Raw genomic sequence first — 18,736 nt, forward strand, 5'->3', positions numbered from 1 at the left:
GTAGATGTATATATTTATGGAGTACATGACATATTTTGATACAGGCATACAATATGTAATGATCATATCAGGGTAAATGGCATATCCATCACCTCAACCATTTATCATTTGTTTGGGTTAAAATTTTTTAAGTTATAATCTTTCTGTTATGTTAAAATATACAATAAATTATTGTTGACTGTAGTCACCCTGTTGTGCTATCCAAATACTAGGTCTTACTGATTCTATCTATGTTTTTGCACCCACTAGCCATTCCTACTTTTTCCTCCTCTCCCTGCTCCCCTTCCCAGCCTCTGGTAACCATCATTCTACCCTCTGTCTCCATGGGTTCAATTAACATTTGTTTTAACAAAAATTTACACTCAAAGTTGGTTTCTTTGGCAGGGCTATCACGTATCCACTTATTCTTTATCAAACCCTCATATTAGGAATCATCTTCATTAGGGCAGGTGACTAACATCTCCGCATGAGAGTATATAAGTAAATTAGGATGTAGATTCAATAGAAACCCTGATTTGGTATCCAAGAAGAGACATTCAACACGGTTAGAAATTTGAAACTCTTGTCATGTAGTTCTCTGGATTCCCAAAGTGCAAAAATAAAAACAGATAAATAAAAGGGAGAAATATTTTAAATTTCTTCCTAATTTAAACTCATACCCAAATCGACATTTGGGCAGGTCCATCAAAAAGCACTTGGGGAGAAATCATCTGTGCACTAAGTGCTTTTTATACCATGAGCAAAAGTCTGAATTGTAAGTAATATTGGCAAGAACAAGCTATAAGTTAAGATGCAAATCCAAATCGAGTGTGCGGTGTTCTGGCTTCAAGCCTGGTAATTGAATTTCCAGTTTATTATCCTTAATGTTTTTTAATGTGAGTTTGCAATTCAAGGCAAAATGGAAAGCTGCTCCTCCAAAGCTTTCCCCTGAAGCACTTCCAGGAACAATTTCTTTTCAGAGTCAAGAAATGGTTTTGGGTCAGGAGTGCACTTTAACTTTTTCAAACTCTAGAAAACTCTATTCCGGGGAGACACTAAACCATGGGTCCACTGAAGGATACTCATCTGGAGACTAGGGATTCTGGAGTCCGAACCTGGCACTGGAGCTTATTATAAAAAATGGAAAAGCTGGGCTGGGCGAGGTGGCTCACGCCTATAATCCCAGCACTTTGGGAGGCCGAGGCCGGCGGATCACGAGGTCAGGAGATAGAGACCATCCTGGCTAACACGGTGAAACCCCGTCTCTACTAAAAATACAAAAAATTATCAGGGCGTGGTGGCGGGCTCCTGTAGTCACAGCTACTCGGGAGGCTGAGGCAGGAGAATGGCGTGAACCCAGGAGGCAAAACTTGCAGTGAGCCGAGATCGCGCCACTGCACTCCAGCCTGGGCGACATAGTGAGACTACGCCTCAAAAAAAAAAAAAAATTGAAAAGCTAAATGCTGTGAGCTGCTTAAGAAGCCCTGTCACAGCGGAGAGTTCCACACAACATGGGCTGACACTCGGTGCCATAGAAAGTAGATGGGGAATGTTTCACATGAAATCTGCTGCTTCAGTATGTGTACTTGGTTATTCTTCAACCGCCTGAGCCTTTTGGCTATAACAGCTAAGCCATACTTGGCGCACACTCTCACATTTTTTTTTCCCTAAAACTAGCCCTGAACAAGGCTGAGGGACTCAATCCCCTTGAAATAGCCTTCTTAATGAAGAAAGAGCTTTAAAGGTGTTAGCTAGCTTATTGTAATAATAATGATGATAATAATAACAAAAACAATAACTATAAACATAATGAAGGTCTGCCATTTTGCAAGCTGTATGCAGCTTTATGCATTATTTATTACGCATTATTGTTATTCATTATTTATTACGTAATTTATCTCTCATAATAGGCTTAAAAGGTAGATTATTGCCCTCAATTTTATATAGGGAAACTGAAGTTCGGAGAATTCAAGTAATTTTCCCCAGGTGATAGAACTAGAATGGCGGCGTGGCCAGGATGCAAACCCAAATTTGTCTGCTCTGAAGCTTGAACCCTTTATTACTAGGCTAAGGGCACAAGCTCCTCCAGTATCTTCTATTGGACCATATACTTCTGTCTTTCTTTAAACATTATTTAAATATTTGTGTGTATGTGTGTGTGTGTGTTGAATGTGTGTGTAGAGAAGAATATAAAGAAAAAGGGCAAACGTACCATTAGCCCATTACCCATCCATGTACATGGCATGAAAATCCAAGAGTAGATTAGTATAAGTTGAAAATTAAAAACTTTCCCCAAGCTCTGTCACCAGAGGTAACCACTTGTATATTTCTTATATATCCTACCAAGAAAAAGTATTCTGTTTCTCATATATACATCTGTATATCTGATTTTTAACAATCATTTAATATTTCATTAATTTATTTAACTAGTTCTCACATATGTTCATTTAAATTACGTCTTTTTGGCATTTAAAATCTCGAGTACAATAAACACTCATATATATAGTTTGGTGAAGGAACATACATTATTTTTAAACTTCTGTAGATATTCCCTCTAAAGGCATTGTGTTAATTCACTATCCCACTTTCAGACCATGAGTAGTCCTCTTTACTGTATCCATTTACTTTCATCCCCATGCCACTTGATTCTCCCACCAAGTTTATAAAGTAAGTAGAGTAGGGATGTTGATATGGTTTGGATTTGTGTCCTCACCCAGATCTCATGCCAAATTGTAATCCCCAATAATAGAGGAGGGGCCTGGTGGGAGGTGATTGGATCACGAGGGTGGATTTCCCCCTTGCCATTTTTGTGACAATGAGTGAGTTCTCATGAGATCTGGTTGCTTAAAAGTGAGTAGCACCTCCCCCTTCTCTCTCTTCCTCTTGCTCTGGCCATGAGAAAACATGCTTTCTTCCTCTTCACATTCTGCCATGATTGTAAGTTTCTTAAGGCCTCCCCAGGCATGCTTCCTGTACAGCCTGTGGAACCATAAGCTAATTAAACCTCTTTTCTTTATAAATTATCCAGTCTCAGGTAGTTCTTTATAACAGTGTATGAACAGACTAATACAGATATAATCCTTGTTTCTAGCATAAGTCAAGGCTAGAACCGAGATGTTCTAAGTACAGAAACTTTTCCTTGAACAAATTATACTTTAAAGCTTCAAAGATAAATAAAAGATCAATACCCTCTGTTTTTACCTCTGACAGATGAAGAGAACAAATATAACTGGGCTTTGTGGTTTAGAGCTCTGGGATAAGAACTTTAACCATGTTTAAAACCCACTAAAATACCACTTATTTAGAGTTGGGATAGATCCATGACTTTCTATTGTTCAAAGGCATTTTCCTTTGTAATAATTCCATGGAAAGAAAAATGACTTGAAAGCCACATTTATTAAAAAGCCCAAAGGCATTTGAACATCAATTTACATTTTTCTTTTTTATAGGAAAAAAAGTAGTTAAGTGTAAATGAATGTCAAACATGTGGTTTACATTTTCTTTAAGATGCATGTGGGCTTTAAAACCTAATGAAAATACTTTAGAAAGAACATATTCCACAATATGGTAAGTGTAAGATAGGTAGGAAATGTGGAGCACGTCAACATTCAGGTTGGGTCTTGCATAAGTCCTGCAGATAAAACAGGAGGAGATCTTTGGTCCTCTCACATGAGATTTCAAAGAGGGGGGTGTCAGGTCTCTGGACCTAGGTTTCACCCCAGCGTAGGCCTATGATTTGAGGGGCTGGGAGACATTCCATAGTTAAGGAAGCTTTTACAATTATTCCTCACCCATTTAATGAACACCTATTCTGTGCTGAAAATTAGAGATGTGAAGACAAATGAAAGACAAACTTGTTTTCAAGACCTTGAATTCCTAGTAAGGAAACCAGATATGGAAAGAGACAAACAACAATAAATGTGATTAGTGAAGTATAACATAGTGTCAGGGCAGTACAAACAGGGGCATTCACACTTGCGGGGGTCATGAGGGAAGATGTCCTGAAGAAGGAGACCTGGAGGATGAGTAGGAGTAGCTGAGCAGAGTTTGTCAAGGACATTGCAGCACAGAGACTAGCACGCACAGAGCAGAGGCATGGGAAGCTTGGCGCTGCAGGGAATGCTGGTACAGCCGTCCTCATCTATGAGTTTACCCTCAGTGATGTCAGTTACCTGGGGTCAACTGCGGTCCGAAAATGCTAAACGGAAAAATCCAGAAATAAGCAATTCATAAATTTTGAATTTTGCACCATTCTGGGTAGCATGATGAAATCTCACACCATCCCATTTTGTTCCCATTCCAAACATAAATCATTCCTTTGTTCAGCATATCCACTTTATATACTCTAACTGCCCATTATTGTATAAGGGAAAATGTAGTGCTCTAGATAGGATTCTGGACTATTGGTGGTTTCAGGCATCCACTGGGGGTCTTCGAACATATCCTCTCCGGCCGGGTAAGGGGGAACTTCTGTAGTTCCATTTGATTACAATGGAAGATGGACTGTGGAGGGAAGAATAGTTAGCAAGAAGGCTAAAGAGGCAAGCCAGGTCAGGTTAAAGTGTTTGAACTCCATTGGGAAGAGACATTAAATGGTTTTAAAAATAACTTTTTTGAGTTTTATTTATTTATTTATTTATTTATTTATTTATTTATTTATTTATTATTATTTTTGAGATGGAGTCTTGCTCTATTGCCCAGGCTGGAGTGCAATGGCGTGATCTCAGCTCACTGCAACCTCCACCTCCCAGGTTCAAGTGATTCTCATGCCTCAGCCTCTCAAGTAGCTGGGATTACAGGCACATGTCACCACACCCAGCTAATTTTTGTTTAGTAGAGACTGGATTTCACCATGTTGTCCAGGCTGGTCTCAAACTCCTGACCTCAAGTAATCCACCTGCCTCAGCCTCTCAAAGTGCTGGGAATACAGGCGTGAGCCACTATGCCCGGACCTTTTTTGTGTTTTAGAAAGACTAATCTGGACTATGGGTGGAAAACAGATGAGAGACAGGTAGTACTGAGGACAAGAAAATCAGTTAGTATGTTGTTGCTAAAATTCCATGAGAAATTATGTACTCAAACCAAGGGTTTAGCAGTGGAGGTAAAGAGAAGTGGATGGAACCAAAAGGTTAATGCTGTGGTGTCTAAGTGTGGCCAAAGGCAGAAGAAGAGTTACGGTGACCTCTGAATTTTTGACATGAGCTTGAAAGTTCAACCTCAGGAATGAACACTTAGATGGCAGTTAGATTAAGAGGCAATGCAGTTTGTTGAAAAAGACACTGACTTTAATTCATTTAATTTTCTTCTAAACATGAATAGAAGGCAATAGAAACGAGACATATTAATGACTATCCACATAACGTTTTAAAGGAATCTGATAATCTTTTAAGATTAAGTGTTAAGGACTCCCAGAAGACTCTGCAATATAAAAGAAGGAATTTTTCACAACAATTACATTTGGCAATATCATGCTCTGGAGAAGATGTAAGGTTATAAAAATTCATATTCACTGTTGGTAATGTATGTTGGTATAACCCAGAGATTTGACTTTTCTCTGTAAGCCCTAGAGAAAGTCCAGTGTATCACACATGTACAAGAATGTTTGTTGAATCACTATAGTAAAGAAAAAACCAGATATGATTTAAATGTTTATCAAAAAATGAGTGGATAAATAAATTGTGGTGTATTCATATAATAAATATTCTTCTGATATTTAAACGAGTAAACTAGGCTTAAATTTATAAAAATGGATATTTTTGAAACAAATGTTTTTAAAACATAACTCTTAAAAACCTAATTTTAATTAAAAAATGAGTCAGGGAATGATATGTACAGATGATATTAAAACGATCCATTGTATTATTTATAGGCATTTATGTTAATAGTAAATACATTAGTAGTATACACATAAAGCATGCCCAAGGTTGCCTGCTTTAGGGAGAAGAGAAAAATGAAGGATGAATATAAAAGGGCTTGAAAAATGTCTGGTTTTCTAAACTCTTTATTTAGTTTCTCAACCTTTGTACCACTGACATTTTGGACCAAATAATTTTTGTCATGGAGGAAAGCCTTGTGCATGGCAGGATACTTAGCAACATCCCCAGCCTCTACCCACTGGATGCCAAGCAGCACCTCCCCATGTCATGACCATTGAAACTATCTCTATACATTGCCAAAATATCCTCTGGAGGTGGAGGTGGACAGAATCACCTTGGTTAAGAACCACTGATTTTGTAGATTGGCATTTCTCATGTTTTTTTTTCCATATACTTGTCTCTTTTTTGAAATACTTTATAATATAAGGGCAGAGGGTTGAAGAGAAGAACATTCCTTTTGCTACTATTTTAATCAGCTATAGAATGTCTTGGTGTTCAGACATCAAGACACAAAATAGGCCCTTGTCCCCAAGAACTCCATGGTAAGGCAATGTAGGATGGAGGCAAAGAGGCCTTGGAGTGGGACAAATCTAAGGACAGATTTAAGGCAGATTTAAGAACAGATGTAAGACAAATCCAGGACTGATCTAAGGATAGATCCTGACTCTGCCATGCATTAACTTTGAGAGCCTCAGTCTCCTCATGCCTAAAATAAAGATTTTTCTTCAAGTAAGGTATGCAAGATTTTACCTTCTGGAAGTCTTTCTGAAACACAGTAAACATGCAACAAGGAGCAGTTATTATACCATTTGTTTTCATTATATGTACACACTTAATAAATCATATAAGATAGTATTGACAATATCCTCCCTATTCCCCCACTCCCTGGGTCTGCCTTCTCATTGGTGACTCCAAGGAACAGGAGAGCAGTTTGTCTCTGTCTACAATCTCTGTTCAGCTCATAAGCACTTGCATTTTGCATTCTCAGAAATATCTCTCACAGAGATGCAGAGCGGGAGAGAGGGAGAGGGCCAAGCAACATGAAACAGCTCACAGGCTCATGAAGAAGATGGTATCCGAGACATTTTCAAACACTCACTGAAACCTTCATAGTCCTTATGAAGCCAAACTCTCTCTCTTCTGTTTTCCATTTTTAAGTTTTAAGTTACCTAGATTTTCCTTGGCCTATTTGTAGGCCCCATAGGGTGGTATTTCACCACACTATTCCCGTGGGTTCTGTAAGGAAGCCCAGTGAGCCCAGTTTGCTGGAGTGAAAACGTAGCAACATGGAGCCATGTCCTCATATTATGGAACATGTTTTGGCCTCTTGGACAACCTTGTTTAGCATTTGAGCAGGCTTCCTTGGTGATAGTCCTATACCAACTGATTTTCTTCAAAATTTATGCTAGCTGTATTGTATTTTTGTTATAGAATCTTTGCAAGAACCAGAAATTTCATTTCCATTATATCCTGTTTGCTATCCTTAACAAGCTAGTTTTGGTTCAGATTGCTAAATTCAGTAATGAAAATACTGATTATTATCAGCTATGTGCCACGTCATTACACATGCCAAATTGCTACAAAGGATTTCAAGAGAGTTGAGGAAAAAGACAGGTATTACCCCTGAACCAACCAAAACACCTAGAACAGAAGGAAGCCTCTGAAATGAACCAAAATGAGTGAATGAACTACAATGAATGACTATGTCTTGGTTAAGCAGAAACAAAACATGTTTGTAAAAGAACAAGCATGAATTAAGACAAAGTACTGGAAAATAGGGCAATAGAGTGAAGACCTGTGATTTTGGTTTGATCTAAAATATCAGATTCAGAGCACCACATAATTACTTAATGCTTATTCACTCAATTCATAAAACAATCAATTGCACCTAAATTGTATCCAGCACCTGGCTAACTATCATGATGTATATACAACCTGCACCTTTCCATACACCAAAAAACAAATCACTAATTATGGGCCTGCCATGATCAGTTATTGGTGATAGGGAGAATGCTTACATTCTAGAAATGGAGTAAAATCTATCTCTATAATGTCACATAGTGTTAGTAGTAATGTATATTGATATATCATTGAAAATATTATCTCATATTCAGCTCTGTCCTCTCACATATGAAGTTACACATCATCCTTGCTTTCTATCACTTTGGAAAGAATGCAACCCAAGAGATACCTTCACCAATCTCCCTTTCCACCATAATTCATGGTTCCCAAGGTCTGTCTCTGTCCTAATGGATGAATTCTATTCACAGAAATTCATTGTTTCCAGAGTTCTTTTCATCTCTTGAAATATAGAGTATCACAATGGACCGAGGGAGACGGCTATGAGAACAATCTTCATTGCTGTTAAATAGTCACATTCACTAGGCTTTATCTGGGCTCCACATGCCTTTAATCTGCTTTGTAGAACATCAAAGCTCTTTTAATATACTTCTAAAACTGAATAAGGCAATAGAAAAGGAACACATTAATGACTATTCACATAAACTGCTACAATTTTAACCTGATTTATTATTTAGTGTACTATAAATCAAAATTAATTACAAATATTGATGCTGACCACATGTGCATAGTTTTTAATCTTTACTGCATTAACACAGTTGAGGCACAAAGAAAGATCTCTAAGTGCTATCTGAATATATTAATAGACTGTTTAGAGGTAAACTACTGTAATTCATATGATTTTGTTCACACATAACTCTCTGATGGCTCCCTTATGATACATAATAATCCAATATCAAGAGAGACTGAAATGGCTTAATAAGTATTTTCCAGAAATAAAAATTACTATCTACCCAGTGATGTCATTTTAAAGAAACAAAACTTTCCAACTTACTGTATTCTAGCAAATGGTTTTTTAAGGTTAAATTTACTCAAGTATACAAAATCAGTGTTCTACATGTATTGGGTTCATGATGGCTTGAATTCTGGAACCTGAAAACCTTAGTAACTGCTCTGTCAGGTAATAATTGAGGCACTCCAAACCATGGTACTTGGCTGCTGGAGAACATTTTGAAACTGAGATGAACCCCTTCATTTTGAAGATGAGAAAATAGGAGACTTCCAGAGAAGTTGTGTCTTGTTCAGGTCCCACTCATAGTAAAGTTTGTAAATTCTAGTTCAGGAATTGATCCTGAATTGATGCTGAGGCTGTCCATCTGAGGCTGTCTACGGTGCTACTGTGAGACCAGAAAGGCATGGGGTAGCAATTAACAGGCAAAGAACAGGCTGCTTTTTCTAGCCTGTGCTTGGAATTTCATTGATATTAATTATTCTTTGAGTTTCTTATAGGGATGTATATTTTATATATTTTTTTTCTAAAGTTTACTGTTCATGGAGAATAGGCCTTGTAGAAATAAGAGCTTAAACCATCAGTTGGCATCTTGGTAGAAATCCTGCCAAAGTACAAAGAGAATACTCATGAAACCAGTGAACAGAGAAGTAGGATGTTTAAACCCATGAGGAAGGAAAATGGTTTCAGCCAAACGTACGGAAGAACAGTCCTCCAATTAGAGCAAAGTCAAATGGATGGAGGCAGTAGACTCTCCATCCCTGGGTCTATTTAGGTAGCTAATGGCTCTCACTTTTCGAGGATGCTGTATATATCATTGGAGAATCAGCTAAGTGTTGAACTCTAAGAATTCTAAGTTTCTCTCTAACTCTGAGGTTCCATGACTCATTGAAAGCAAATTGGACAAAGTTGATGTTAGAGAGGTAAGGGGGCATTGAGTAGAAAAGTAGAACAACCCCAAAGACAAATTCTACCTACTTTGTATTTTTTGTGTAAAGTAAAATAGCTTTCGGAATAACTGAATAGAAAGAGAGGAGACCAGAGTCCTTTATCACGTCATATCAAGTGGCATCTGGAAATGAAGCCCTGTGATAGGTCCAGATTCCTATGATATCAAAGACACTACTAGGCTTGGAAGATCTAACAGAGGCATCATAGACTGGAAGCCTGCATTCAATTGCTATCATCTCTGTAAGGAGGAGTTTATTGCACTAACTCTTGGTAGAATGTAGTAAGAACACTTGTAAGAAGAGATTGAAAACTAATGACTATTGCCATTTCTCAAATCCTTTCTCCAAAGGGTATGATTTTAGTGTTTCAGAAAGCTGCAGATATTGTTAGTGCTCAGTGCAGCACACACATATTAATGAATTAAGGTATTTATTTGTTTATTTTAAACAGCCAAGCGTTAAGCTTTCATGTGTAGAGAAGCTCAGCCACCTCATATTCTAGATGCCCCTCATGGCTATTGAATGAGTTGCTAGTATAGGGCCCAGCCTGAACACACCACATGTGAGAACTTCCCAGCAAGTATACCACACATGAGTTTTAAGCAGAGGTGGAAACCAGTAATGTGGCATCGGAAGCGTATGCAATTTGAGGAATTTTTTGTTTTGTTTTGTTTTTTTATTGAGCTGGAGTCTCACTCTGTCACCCAGGCTGGAGTGCAGTGGCATGGTCTTGGATCACTGCAACTTCCACCTCCCAGGTTCAAGCAATTCTCCTGCCTCAGCCTCCTGAGTAGCTGGAATTACAGGTGCGCACCACCACGCCTAATTTTTGTATTTTTAGTAGAGACGGCATTTCACCACGTTGGTCAGGCTGGTCTCAAACTCCTGACCTCATGATCTGCCTGCCTCGGCCTCCCAAAGTGCTGGGATTACAGGCGTCAGTCACCACGCCTGGCCTGGGGAATCTTTTAAAAGAAAATGAATAAAAAAATATAGATGCAAATTAAATGTAGGACTTTAGAGGGAACCCATGAGAGTAAGTCCTCCTGCAGTATGAACTTCATCAGCACCTCAGTCAAGCCAACTCTGGGTGACAGGCATACCAAGAAGCTGATCCCTCAAGGAGACCTGGCTGACTTGAGGTGAGCAGAGCCCCGGACTTGTTGCTTCATTCATTCATGGGTCTATTTACACCATTTAGCTCCATGTGTTACTTTTGTTGAGTGGAATACTGAGAAAAAGTTTGAGAAACATTGTTCCTATTAACTTGAAGTCCATTCCATTTTCTGTTACTACAAACACATTACCTATGTTATTTTAAGTTAGAACTGAAGGGAATATCAGACCCTACTTCTGGCTGGGCACAGTGGCTCCTGCCTGTAATCACAACCATTTGGGAGGCCAAGATGGGAGTATCACTTGAAGCCAAGAGTTTGAGACCAGCCTGGGCAGCAAAGGGAGACCCTGTCTCTACAAAACATTAAAATAAATTACCTGGGCATGGTTGCACACACCTGTAGTCCCAGCTACTTGTGGGGCTGAGGCAGGAGGATTGAGGATGCAAGTGAGCTATGTTTGTTCCACCGCACTCCAGCCTCCAGCATCGGTAACAAGACTCCATCAAAAAAAAAAAAATATATTACTTCTTACTCTTCAATGAACTTTAAATCTCTTCCTCAATTTTTACCTGGTCTTATTATCTCTATTTGATAGGGAGTATATATTGAAAAATATTAGCTTTTGTCATTTTAAATGAATGTACTTTTTTCTGTCTCCCTTTCTTAATCTCCTGTTCCTTATCTCCAACTCCACCAGAAAAAAATCCCATGACATTTTGATTTCACAGAATTCTTTTTATTTTTTTGAAGAAATGGAGTCTCGCTATGTTGCCCAGGATTGAGTACAGTGGTTATTCTTAGGCGTGATTATAGTTCACTACAGCTTGGAACTCCTGGGCTCCGGCAATCCTCCTGCCTCATTCTCCCAAGTAGTTGGGGCTACAGGCATGCAACACTGTGCCTGGCTTCACAGGATCACTTTAAATGTGACTGCCATGCTTATGTCATGAGGGCTAACCACATGAGCATACTTACCTTTGCAAAAAAAGTTCCAATACCATTTTGAGTCTGTAGTCAAGATTGTATAAGCACTTAGCATCTAAACCAGAAAGTACTTATGATGCTTCATATACACTATTGTTCTGCATGTGTCATTTCCAAAATATTCATTTATCAGGAAAACTGCCTAATTACCAGGTGCCAAGGGGATGCTACAGAGAGATATTTCAATAACAATTCTTGTCCCCCATGAAGGCTACAATGGCTTAACAAAAAGATGTTGATTTTTCTGTGTCGAAAAGTCACATATACCTCATCTGAGCACCAAAGGCATGCACGATGGTGTTTCCTGCCTTTTTTTTTTTTTTTTCTAGGAAGATTTGTGAGACAGTTGAGTTTAGGACTGTAACAAACTGGCTTGGCAGGGAGAGCTTTTTCTTTATTTATTGAAATTAAATGCTAATTGATCCAAAGATGCAAACAACTACAAGATATAAAATAGCATGTATCATGAACATTTCTGCTCCCACTGGCTTGAATCTTCCTCCAGAAGCACAGATATTGACCTATAGTAAGTGTGTTCTTTGTTGAATTCTCAAATTAATGAATTAATTCATGGGTAAATTAACAACTAAAGAGGATATTGCACATTTTTGGTGGGATTTTGGTTTTAAAACTAACTTTTGAGCTACCAGAAGCTGTTACTGATCACAATATTATTCACAAGTTGTCTCATGTGTAGAAGTCTCATCCAGCCACCTGGAGAGGAACACTCGCTACTGTTGTCTGGCCCCATCAGCACCACAGGACTTTCATCTGCATTATTTCACTAACTTCTTTGAGGGCAGGTATTTTGCAAGTAAATCAATACACTCATCTAGTGAGGTTGAGTTACCTGTTTACCTGAGGACAAGAGAACATGCAAGCTTTACTGAGAATGCCATCTTCAGTTCATTGCTAGTGTTTTCCTAGCGTCTGATGCGGAGAAGAGAAGTCACATCCAAGGTCAGAGGAAAGGACAGGCCTGAGCAATTAGCAATGTCTACCATGAACACCAAACAAGGAAGTGGCAAGTAGGTGTGCCACACTTTGCTGACATTAATTGAGAGTTAAACTTTTTTCACTCTATTCTTCTAACTCCCCAGTAACTTCTGGAAAGAAACTGACATTTTTCTTCAATCCACCAGAGTCAAACTTAAGCACACCTTAGGTGCTCGATAGTAGGTCATTCATAAAATTGACCTAGCAAAATGACCTTCCCTTTAGCTAAATGGCAGAGATCATGATGCTATAATGGTAACAACAGAAGCCATAACAACAAAAAACACAATATGTTTGGTATCTATGGACAATGGTTGAATCTAAGACACATCACTTCTCTATCATGATGTATAACCTTACCTCCCCAGTAAGACCAAAGGAATTTAATGAAATAGCATTCTTCCCCATGGATGATATTATCTGTCTCTCTGTCTCTCTCTCTCTTTCTGCCCTTAATCGAAAATCACATTTGAATGCTGTGTCTTCTCATGCATCTTCAAGATTTATTCATGAGTCACAGCTGAATGCTCTATGAGTTGTATTTATGTGAACAAACACACATAAAAAAAAGAAAGAATCAGTTCCATTATCTAGATAGATGTGTGTTTGTCAGCATCTGAGAGAATATCCATCCTGGATGGTATAAGTATTCAGCCACTCTTTTAAAAACATCAGTCAGGCATTGTAAGACATATAACTACAGCATAAGCAATGACCTTTAGACATGTCTCCCTCCTATTATCTGCACACGGTGAAATAGAAACAAGTTGATATTGGAAATCTCTGTAGTATCAGTTTAGAAGCTATTTATTTCAAATGTATTCTGCTTGGTGCACCAACCATAATTTTATTAACAATAGCAATATATTGAGACATAATTCAAAGGAATTCTAACAGGTATTCATTCACTCCACCCACTCCCCCTATCCCCAACACATGTGCACATGCACAAAGACACACACACTTTTGACAAGAATCACAGGGCTCATTATTTTTACCTACCAGCAAAAAGCCTCATGTCATTTAAAATATGTATAACTTTTTAAATTAAATTTATAAAACCTTCTAGTGTACAGTATCTTCAAGGGGCATCGCTTTCACAGCAACATATTCTGCAAGCCTTGTAATCTTTCAAAGGACTCGGCCTCAGTGATTAATTGACTCTTCCCTTCTCTAAAGGACAAATAGCACTTAGAACAGAAAAGGAGCTTTATTTTGGCCAGACAGTTTCCCCAGGATTTTTTTTTAGATGTAGGTCACATTACATTGGCACTCCAGCCAAACTTACTTCCTGCTGCCGCTCCCATCAATATTGAATGACTCACTAGAAAAACTGGTGGCAGGAATGTTGTTAATGACACTTCATGAAAAAAAAAACCCATAAGACAACTTGAGGTGTGAATTTTGACAATTAATCAAGCTTATGCCAATTGGCGCTTTCCTATCATTTACCTTAAAAAAAAAAAAATCCATTGACCATAAAATAAAAGTGCTCTGCCTTCTTTACAACAGAAATCATGACACAATTTTCCCAGTAACTGTCTGAACATCTTACAAAGCATGTGTGTGAGTTGTCATCAATCCTTCCTAGGCTAAAAACATAATAGAGTCAAAATATGCTCAGTTTTCTATACCAGGCATAAGTCTACAAAATGATGATCTCGTTCCATCAACAATTAGCTTTCTGTTGCCACTGTAACAAATTACTACAAGCCTAGTCGCTTTAAGAAACGTGAATTTATTCTCTTATAGTTCTGGAGATCATGTGTCTGACAGGAATAAAACCAAATTATTAACAGAGCTGGTTCTTCCTGGAGGCTCTGAGGGGAGAATCCAAGTCTTTGCCTTTTTCAGCTTCTGGTGGCCTCCTATATTCATTAGTCTGTGATTCTTTCCTCTGTTTTCATAGCATACAATTCTAATCCCTATTTCTCTCATCGCATTGCTCACTTTTCTTCTGAAGACAAATCTCCCTCTGCCTCTTTTTTATATAGATAGTTTAGTTACATTTAGGGCCCACCTAAGTAATCCAGAATAGATATTGCCACCTCAAGATCCATAACTTAATCATGCTTGTGAAGTCCCTTTTGCCATATAAATTAACATTCATGGGTTCCAGGGATTAGGTCCTAGATATCTTAACAGACCATTATTTTCCCATCCACATCAACTAATTAAGTTGTTTGCCAAAATAAGAGGGAAATAAGATTGACTTCCTTTTTAAAATTAAGCCTTAATTCAGAAAGAGGATATCTAGAAGTCATAACTTGAAAAAAAGAATAAAAATCTAACCTGTAATATCAAGTTTAATACTTAGTATTATATTTGAAGCATAAAAATCTAACCTGTAATATCAAGTTTAGTACTTAGTATTATATTTGAAGCATAAAAATCTAACCTGTAATATCAAGTTTAGTACTTAGTATTATATTTGAAGCAGTTTATTGGAAATGAATAAGGATTAATATTATATCATTAAGAAACTGGAAGCAGAGGCTATGTACCAATCAGGGTTTTTGGTTGCAAGTAATAGAATCAAGCCTGAGCTAATTTAAGGAAAACAAGAAATTTGTTAATTTCTTGTTAATTAGTTAATCAATTTAATTAATCAGTGGGAGACTAGAGGGTTCAGCTATAACTTTGGGCAGCAATCAAGAAAGGCTGACCATAAGGAGGCATGACTTAGTTTACACAATAGGAACAGTTTGGTCTGTATGATTGTTCTGGACTTTTGATGGGGAAGCCCAAGGTGCAAAGCATGGCAATAAAGCCAAGATGCCTGGGGTTTCATCCAGGAACAAGTTTTACTAATAAATTTGAACAAATTGCTTAAAATCTCACTAGTTTCCTCATATGTAAAGTAGATAACATAAGAGTACTCAATGCATAAAGCTATGAGGATTAAGAGAGGTAATATTTATAAAAGTACTTACAACAAACACGTAGTGTTGAAAATAAATTGGAGAAATCAGGAAACTTTATTATTCTTGCAAACCAACTCATGAATGATTTATCAACTGTCCCTGAGTCTGCCTTGATGTCTTAAGATTCAAACTATGAACAAGATCATTTGAATCCATCCTTCCCTAGTTCTCAGAGGATGGAAACAAGGAAACTCTTTTATCTTTGTTTTCATAGGGAAAGCAAAACTGTATCTCACCCATTGAGCAGTGTCCCTCTAATAGGAAGACTATTTGGGCACCGAATTGAAGATAAAGAAAAGACAAATGTCTCTATAGCCCATGTTGACAGGTACAAGGCAAAATTGACTTTAGAATAGGAGAAGTCAATTAAAAGTAATCCACAGCCAACAGAAAAATACAATGGCCACTTGGCCATTTCCCCACTGTTTCCCTTTCCTTCACTGGCCTTTGTTCATTTCCTTAATCCTTGTTTATCTAATTTTTCTGATAGAAGTTTAATTTTCAATTGTGTTTCTTGGTATGCATTATAAAAAGTTTAAAAAACATCAAAAAAATACGAATCTAGTTTGTGTGTCTATTTATTGTACATGTATATTGGATGTCTGTAATTTGGATAGATTTCTTAAATGGGTGCATTTCACATTTGAAGATAAAGCACATGGTAGGGGGTTTGGAGAACAGGCTTTTTATATTGATAATAATCAAATAAAATTCTACATTCATCTGAAATGATTTTATTAAAATGTTTAAATTCAATCAGAAGCAAATCTAAAATAAAAATGGCATCTAATTCTGGATGGTGAAAGCACAGGTATTAATTATATTTTTCTAGTTTATTAATCTTTTGATTTCTCAAAAATATTTATACCATGTTAAGGCATAACAAAATAGAAAGAAAAAAAGGCCACTGAATGTATTTTAAAAGCTTGAACATTTAGTAACATGTTCAAACTCACAACGTGGAGAGAAGGAAAAAGTCTTTCTAGTTGTAAGAAACAAAATTTAATAAAAAGTGCATTAAATTAATTGTATTCGGTCCAATGAAAACAGAAAAGTCATATGAATATGAAAAAGACCACACAGCATGGAAGAGGGAAAAGGTTTGAATAATAATTACTCCAGTCTGACTTGAAACAGCTCTTTGTTTCACTCTAAGACAAAGGCCAAAGGCTTAAAAGAGAAGTAGACTTTTCCTAACATGTTGAGGTAAAAAAAAAACTCCTGTTTGTGAATACAGTGAGAATTGACCTGGTCAATCTCTGACAAAAGCAGACCAGGAACAGGAACAAGACAAAAAAGAATCACAACTCATTAAAAATTCTTACACAAAGATCATAGACAGCTTAAAACTTGACGACATCTCAAAGGGGTTAATCCTACCTGGTTAGAAATGAGAAAACTAAGGCCCAAAGAAAGTGGTGACAAGAATTACATAACCAGCGCTTGGCAGCCTAAAAGTGGAACCTAGATCTTCTGACCCCCTGACAAATGAATATCCATCCCCTTAACATGTCATACAAAGGGCTTTGACATCCAGCTCCTGCCTGCCTTCCAGTGCTGACCTCCCACAATGCATCCCATGCTCAAGTTTGGATCCTCTGGTACTGCAGCAACTCTCATTTCTCTATACCTTTGCACAGAATTTCCCTGTGCTGTGTAAAGAAGGTCAATGAGCTCTTTTTATCATTCAAGTCTGACCCCTTCCTTTGATCTTCCCAACTTCCAGCCCAAGCTGAATACCTCACTTTTTGTTCTCATAATAACCAGTACCTCCCTTTGTCATAGCCTTTATCATTTGTTTTGTCCTCTCTCCCACTAGACTGTGACCACCTAGAAAAAAGAGAATACATTTCTGTACACCTGTTAAATTAAGAGATTTGTTGCCAAAGTCCTTTGCATTGTGTGTCTAGGTACCCTCCCAGGCCCTCCTAGAGAGGGAAGAGGGGAAAAGGCATAATCAGGAAAATGATTCCCCAGGAGTTCTCAGCTTTGACATTATGTCACTATTAATCCCATCCTTGAGAAGACTGAAGTTCAGCAGAGAAGTGACTGAGAACCTAGATGTACAGAAACTTGAAATAACAGCATAGAAAGAGAAGTGAAGAAGTGAGCCAGTTTTGGCTCAAAGGCAGTAAGGACTCCCCTTTGCAAACAAAAGGTGAGATATCCCTAAAAGGTCATATTCCTACTATAGACACCTGCATTCCTAGCAACAAGAGAGCCCCTCAACCTCCAAAGGCCCTGAGACTCTGAGGCCCCCAGTATAGGAAGCTGCCTGGTGTCCACACAACTACTTTGCCCCTTAGAGGAAGTTCGCACTGGGTTCCCCTCACTCCCTGGGGTCCATGCTGCTGCAGCATGACATCATTTTGAGAGAAGAGCCAACACCAGACTACATCCTGCCCTGGGGCCCAATAATCCCTGTATCACCAAATCACTGGGGCCTCATCAGCATCTCCCCAGGTGACACCAGCTGAACCCAGGGAAGCAGCTACATCCCTGACACTTGAGCCCACACAGCACCCTCCACCCACGGAACAGGCAGTTCTGCACATTAAAGAGGCTGCTCCCAGGATAAATGGAGCCAAAGTGGGCACTCCCTGAAGCCTGAAAGAAGTCTACCAGGGATGTTGCCACTGACAGTGACCCTCTCCTCTCCAATTGTGGGGCCACCATGCACTCAGGTGTGCTGCCCAACACCCAAAACCTAGCTTGCTTCAGCCACTATGGCTACCACAGTCTGAGTGTGCCTTCTGGAGGCCTGAGAACTGGCTCTTAAAGGGCTGCTGCTACCACCACTGAGTCCTGTGCATGCCACCCAAGGGTCTGAGAAGCTGCCCACCCAGGGAAGACTACCACCACAGCTGGTGCCCTCGTGTACCACCTAGGGGTTAGAGGACCAGCCCACCTGGGGCCCCAGTCCCCAGCAGAGTCTCACCATAGCCTCCACAAATGACCACAGCCTAAGCTATTGAGGAATTTATAGACATCGCCAACACTGATTACAGCCAAAGAAATTATATGGAGACTGCACTACAATGCTCACCCAGAACTAAAGCCAAAGTACCCTACCCAACAGATACTATGATATATCTATAGT

The 18,736-nt window shown here is 38.5% G+C and overlaps 1 annotated feature.

Annotated features, from left to right (window-relative positions):
* Positions 17,901-18,401: an enhancer, noted in NCBI's record as "H3K27ac hESC enhancer chr16:52152392-52152892 (GRCh37/hg19 assembly coordinates)". NCBI's record gives its function as "activates a minimal SCP1, AML or CMV promoter by ChIP-STARR-seq in naive and primed H9 embryonic stem cells {active_cell/tissue: H9 hESC(naive and primed)}" and the evidence as "EXISTENCE:reporter gene assay evidence [ECO:0000049][PMID:30033119]".

The sequence above is a fragment of the Homo sapiens genome, chromosome 16 (genome assembly GCF_000001405.40).
Source record: "Homo sapiens chromosome 16, GRCh38.p14 Primary Assembly".
In the NCBI taxonomy this organism is placed as follows: Eukaryota; Metazoa; Chordata; class Mammalia; order Primates; family Hominidae; genus Homo; species Homo sapiens.